The sequence below is a fragment of the Homo sapiens genome, chromosome X (assembly GCF_000001405.40).
Source record: "Homo sapiens chromosome X, GRCh38.p14 Primary Assembly".
In the NCBI taxonomy this organism is placed as follows: domain Eukaryota; kingdom Metazoa; phylum Chordata; class Mammalia; order Primates; family Hominidae; genus Homo; species Homo sapiens.
This window is the reverse complement of record NC_000023.11, coordinates 111,617,320-111,622,399: the sequence shown is the minus strand read 5'-3', so window position 1 is coordinate 111,622,399 and position 5,080 is coordinate 111,617,320. Positions and strand designations below refer to the sequence as shown.

General features: G+C 42.2%; 1 pseudogene; it reads left to right on the top strand.

Moving 5' to 3' along the window:
• EIF4BP7 (eukaryotic translation initiation factor 4B pseudogene 7) lies at nucleotides 884–4,746 on the top strand (annotated as a pseudogene).

Here is a 5,080-nt window from a genome sequence, read left to right as displayed (position 1 = left end):
CAGTATGATACCACTGTGCACGCATTAGGTGGCTATAATCAAATAAATGGAAAATAACAAGTGTTGGTGAGAATGTGAAGAGATGTGAACCCTCATACATTCTTGGTAGAAATGTAAAGTGGTGCAGTTGTTATGGAAAATAGTCTGGTAGTTCCTCAAATGGTTAAACACAGAGTTACCCTGTGGTCCGGAAATTTTACTCCTAAGGTGTACAGTTGACCCTTGAACAACATCGGTTTGAACTGCACAAGTCCACTTATATGCAGACATTTTTTTCAATAAAAGTTTTAGTGAATGTGCTTGCTCCTCCTGCCTCCTCTTCACCTCTTCCAACTCTGCCACTCCAAGACAGTAAGACCAACTCCTCTTCTTCTTTCTCCTCCTCCTCAGCTTACTCATGTGAAGATGATAAGGATGAAGACCTTTATGATAATCTACTTCCACTTAATGATAGCAAATGTATTTTTTCTCCCTTATAATTTTCTCAATAACATTCATTTCCCAGCTTACTTTATTGTAATAATGCAGTATAAAATAGATATCACATAGAAAGTTTGTGTTAATCAACTGTTACCAGCAAGGCTTCCTCAACAGTAAGCTATTAGTAGTCAAGTTTTCAGGGAGTTGAAAGTTATTTGTAGATTTTGGACTGTGCAAGGGGTCAGCACTCTTAAACCCCATGTTGTTCAAGGATGTATGCACAAGAGAACTGAAAACATTTGTACTATCAAAGACCTTTTGCTTCAATGGTCATAGCAGCATTAACCATACTACCCCAAAGTGGAAACAACCCAAGTTTTCATCAGCTGATAAATGGATAATCAAAATGTGGTATATCCATGCAATTAAATATTTTTGGCATTGAAAACAATGAAGTACCCTTTTTTGCGTTCTCTTTCCCTCTCCCAACATGGCGGCCTCAGCAAAAAAGAAGAATAAGAAGGGGAAGACTATCTCCCTAACAGACTTTCTGGCTGAGGATGGGGGTACTGGTGGAGGAAGCACCTATGTTTCCAAACCAGTCAGCTGGGCTGATGAAACGATGACCTGGAAGGAGATGTTTCGACAACTTGGCACAGTAACAATGACGATGTGTATAGGGTGCCTCCAATTGACCGTTCCATCCTTCCCACTGCTCCACGGGCTGCTCGGGAACCCAATATCGACCGGAGCCGTCTTCCCAAATCGCCACCCTACACTGCTTTTCTAGGAAACCTACCCTATGATGTTACAGAAGAGTCAATTAAGGAATTCTTTCGAGGATTAAATATCAGTGCAGTGCGTTTACCACGTGAACCCAGCAATCCAGAGAGGTTGAAAGGTTTTGGTTATGCTGAATTTGAGGACCTGGATTCCCTGCTCAGTGCCCTGAGTCTCAATGAAGAGTCTCTAGGTAACAGGAGAATTCGAGTGGATGTTGCTGATCAAGCACAGGATAAAGACAGGGATGATCGTTCTTTTGGCCGTGATAGAAATCGGGATTCTGACAAAACAGATACGGACTGGAGGGCTTGTCCTGCTACAGACAGCTTTGATGACTAGAAGAGGTGATGATAGCTTTGGAGACAAGTATCGGGATCGTTATGATTCAGACCGGTATCGGGATGGGTATCGGGATGGCCCACGCCGGGATATGGATGGATATGGTGGCCGGGATCGCTATGATGACCAAGGCAGCAGAGACTATGATAGAGGCTATGATTCCCGGATAGGCAGTGGCAGAAGAGCATTTGGCAGCGGGTATCGCAGGGATGATGACTACAGAGGAGGCGGGGACCGCTATGAAGACTGATATGACAGACGGGATGATCGGTCGTGGAGCTCCAGAGATGATTACTCTCGGGATGATTATAGGTGTGATGATAGACGTCCCCCCCAAAGACCCAAACTGAATCTAAAGCCTTGGAGTACTCTTAAGCAAGATGATTCCTCTGCTAGTACCTCCCAGTCCACTCGAGCTGCTTCTATCTTTGGAGGGGCAAAGCCTGTTGACACAGCTGCTAGAGAAAGAGAAGTAGAAGAACGGCTACAGAAGGAACAAGAGAAGTTGCAGCGTCAGCTGAGTGAGCCAAAACTAGAACGACGGCCTCGGGAGAGACACCCAAGCTGGCGAAGTGAAGAAACTCAGGAACGGGAACGGTCAAGGACAGGAAGTGAGTCATCGCAGACTGGGACCTCCACCACATCTGGCAGAAATGCACGAAGGAGAGAGAGTAAGAAGTCTCTAGAAAATGAAACACTCAATAAGGAGGAAGATTGCCACTCTCCAACTTCTAAACCTCCCAAACCTGATCAGCCCCTAAAGGTAATGCCAGCCCCTCCACCAAAGGAGAATGCTTGGGTGAAGCGAAGTTCTAACCCTCCTGCTCGATCTCAGAGCTCAGACGCAGAGCAGCAATCCCCTACAAGTGGTGGGGGAAAAGTAGCTCCAGCTCAACCATCTGAGGAAGGACCAGCAAGGCAAGATGAAAATAAAGTAGATGGGATGAATGTCCCAAAAGGCCAAACTGGGAACTCTAGCCGTGGTCCAGGAGACGGAGGGAACAAAGACCACTGGAAGGAGTCAGATAGGAAAGATGGCAAAAAGGATCAAGACTCCAGATCTGCACCTGAGCCAAAGAAACCTGAGGAAAATCCAGCTTCCAAGTTCAGTTCTGCAAGCAACTATGCTGCTCTCTCTTGATGGTGAAGATGAAAATGAGGGAGAAGATTATGCCGAATAGACCTCTACATCCTGTGCTTTTCTCCTAGTTTCTCTCCACCCTGGAACATTCGAGAGCAAATCAAAACCTCTATCCAGACAAGACAAAATAAAACTCACCATCTCCTGAAGATCTTTCTTACCTTTTTTTAAAAACAAAAAATGAAACTATTTTGCATGCTGCTGCAGCCTTTAAAGTATTGAAGTAACTGGAGAATCGCCAATATAGCCAGAGAGAAAGGGACTACAGCTTTTTAGAGGAAAAGTTGTGGTGCGTTATGTCACCACGCAGTTGCCAGTGTGATTAGCGCCTAAGGGTCTCCATTTAGCAGAAATGGTAATGAGAGTGATATAACCCCTGGAACCTGGTTGGGCAGTAGGGGAGGGAGGGAGAAGGAAAAGTGTGAGATTTCTACTTTTTAGTTTTTATCCTATTGTGGCATATATGAATTCTCAAACATTATCTGAATAAATTTTCCACTCTTGGAAAGGTAGATTTAGCCTCAAGTTGTTTTAGTCTCCAGGAGGCTGCCAGCCCCTCCTCTTATTTAATTCTGAGTTTTGGGGGCCACCCTAGAGGGAATTCCCTTTTTTTTTTTTTTTTACCCCCCAGGGGGGTAGTTGGGAGTGAGACTATAGGCCATAAAGAATGGGACTGCATTGGACCAAAATAAATGGGAAAATCGTGGTTTGAAAAGAAGCTTTTGGGAAGTGATGAGTCATTTTGCACCAGGTAATAGGGGAAAATTGCGTGACCTCCAGCAAACACATGAATGGTTATTTCCTGGAGCCGGAAGCACTTGGGGGTCGTGGTAATTCCCAATGTTTTCTGTGTCCTAGTTTTACCCTTTCTAAACACTGTCCTTTTTGAAAGTTTGAATATATCCACATTGTATTGAAACCTTGAAACTAAAAATTTAGACTCTTATCGTCATCTTAAGTTCTTCATGATACTCTTAACCTCCCAAAAAGCAGTATCTAAGTCACATACATGATGTCTTGGGCATTTTCTCTCTCAGCCATGGAGAGCTGTGAAAGGAAGAATCGCTGCTTTTCTCAAGCAAATCGGTTTCTTGATGTCTTTTGGTTCTCACTCCTTGCCTGTTCCTGATGCTTTGACCCCTTTTATAGATCAGAGTGCTCTAGAATAATGGATGGTCTTGGATGGTGGATAAATAGGGACAGGGACAGTTAAATTGGGAGCCTTTCTTACAACCTTGATAGGCTTTTTTCCCCCCAAGTTTCCTTCTCCACTGAAATGCCACACTAATGCTTGTTGGATTCATGAGGTGGCCAGACCAACGTGTTTTTTTTGTTTTTTTGTTTTTTTGTTTTTTTTGTTTTTTTGTTTTTTTAGCTTCCCTTGAGAGAATAAACGGTAATGGAGAGAACTATTTAACAAGGTCCTGGTTTCTCTTGCAACACAGTAGCTAAACTTGCCTGCTTTTATATGCATTTCTTTGTAGGGATCAGCTTGATAGACAGTATTAGCAGAGAAACGACACCTTGATCTTGGTTTGCAAGCCCTTCCCCCATCAGTCCTAGATTAGGCCCTGCTCAGCCATGCAGGGGTGTTGGTTTATGCGTGCTGCAGCAGTGGGCATAATGAATATAATTTACCCAGTGGACAAAGGTGTGTACCAAGTGAATTTAAATAATTGGTGTGGATTGGCCAGTAGCTAAGAAGTGGGCTTTTAAAGAGTATTGAAGATTGAAAGGTTTTTTTTCTTTTTTTAAAAAGAAAAAAAAAACTATTGATTGTAGATAATGAAAAGCTAGGGTTTGCCCTCTTCATGTCTACTCTCCTTCCAAATAGTTATATCCAAAACTGTTTTTCCCTTTCCCCTACCTTGCCCCCCTATTAAAATAGAAACAGGGATTGATTAATGTCCCACTCCTGAATACACGTAAAATTTGTACAAAAATATCTTCCATGAAAATGATTTGTAACCTGTAGACTTATTACCTGGGAGATGTCTTGATGTAAAATCCCATCCTGTGGGTTGTGGGTTTTTTGTTTTCTCCAAATAAATATGATCTTTAAAAAAAAAAAAAAGAAAAAAAAGAAAACAATGAAGTACTGATACAACATGGATTAACCTTGAAAATGGTCTGCTAAGTGAAAGAGTCCATCATAAAAAACTAATTATATGATTCCACTTATATAAAATGTCCAGAATAGGAAAATCTATATATAAAGAGTAAATCAGTGGTTTCCTGGAGATCAGGTAAAGAAGGGATGGGGGTGACTGCTAATAGAAATGAGGTATCTGTGGAGTAATGAAAATGTTCTAAAACTAGATTATGATGATAGTTGGACAAATCTGAATATAGTAAAAACCACTGGCTTTCACACTTTAAACCAGTGAATGTTATGGT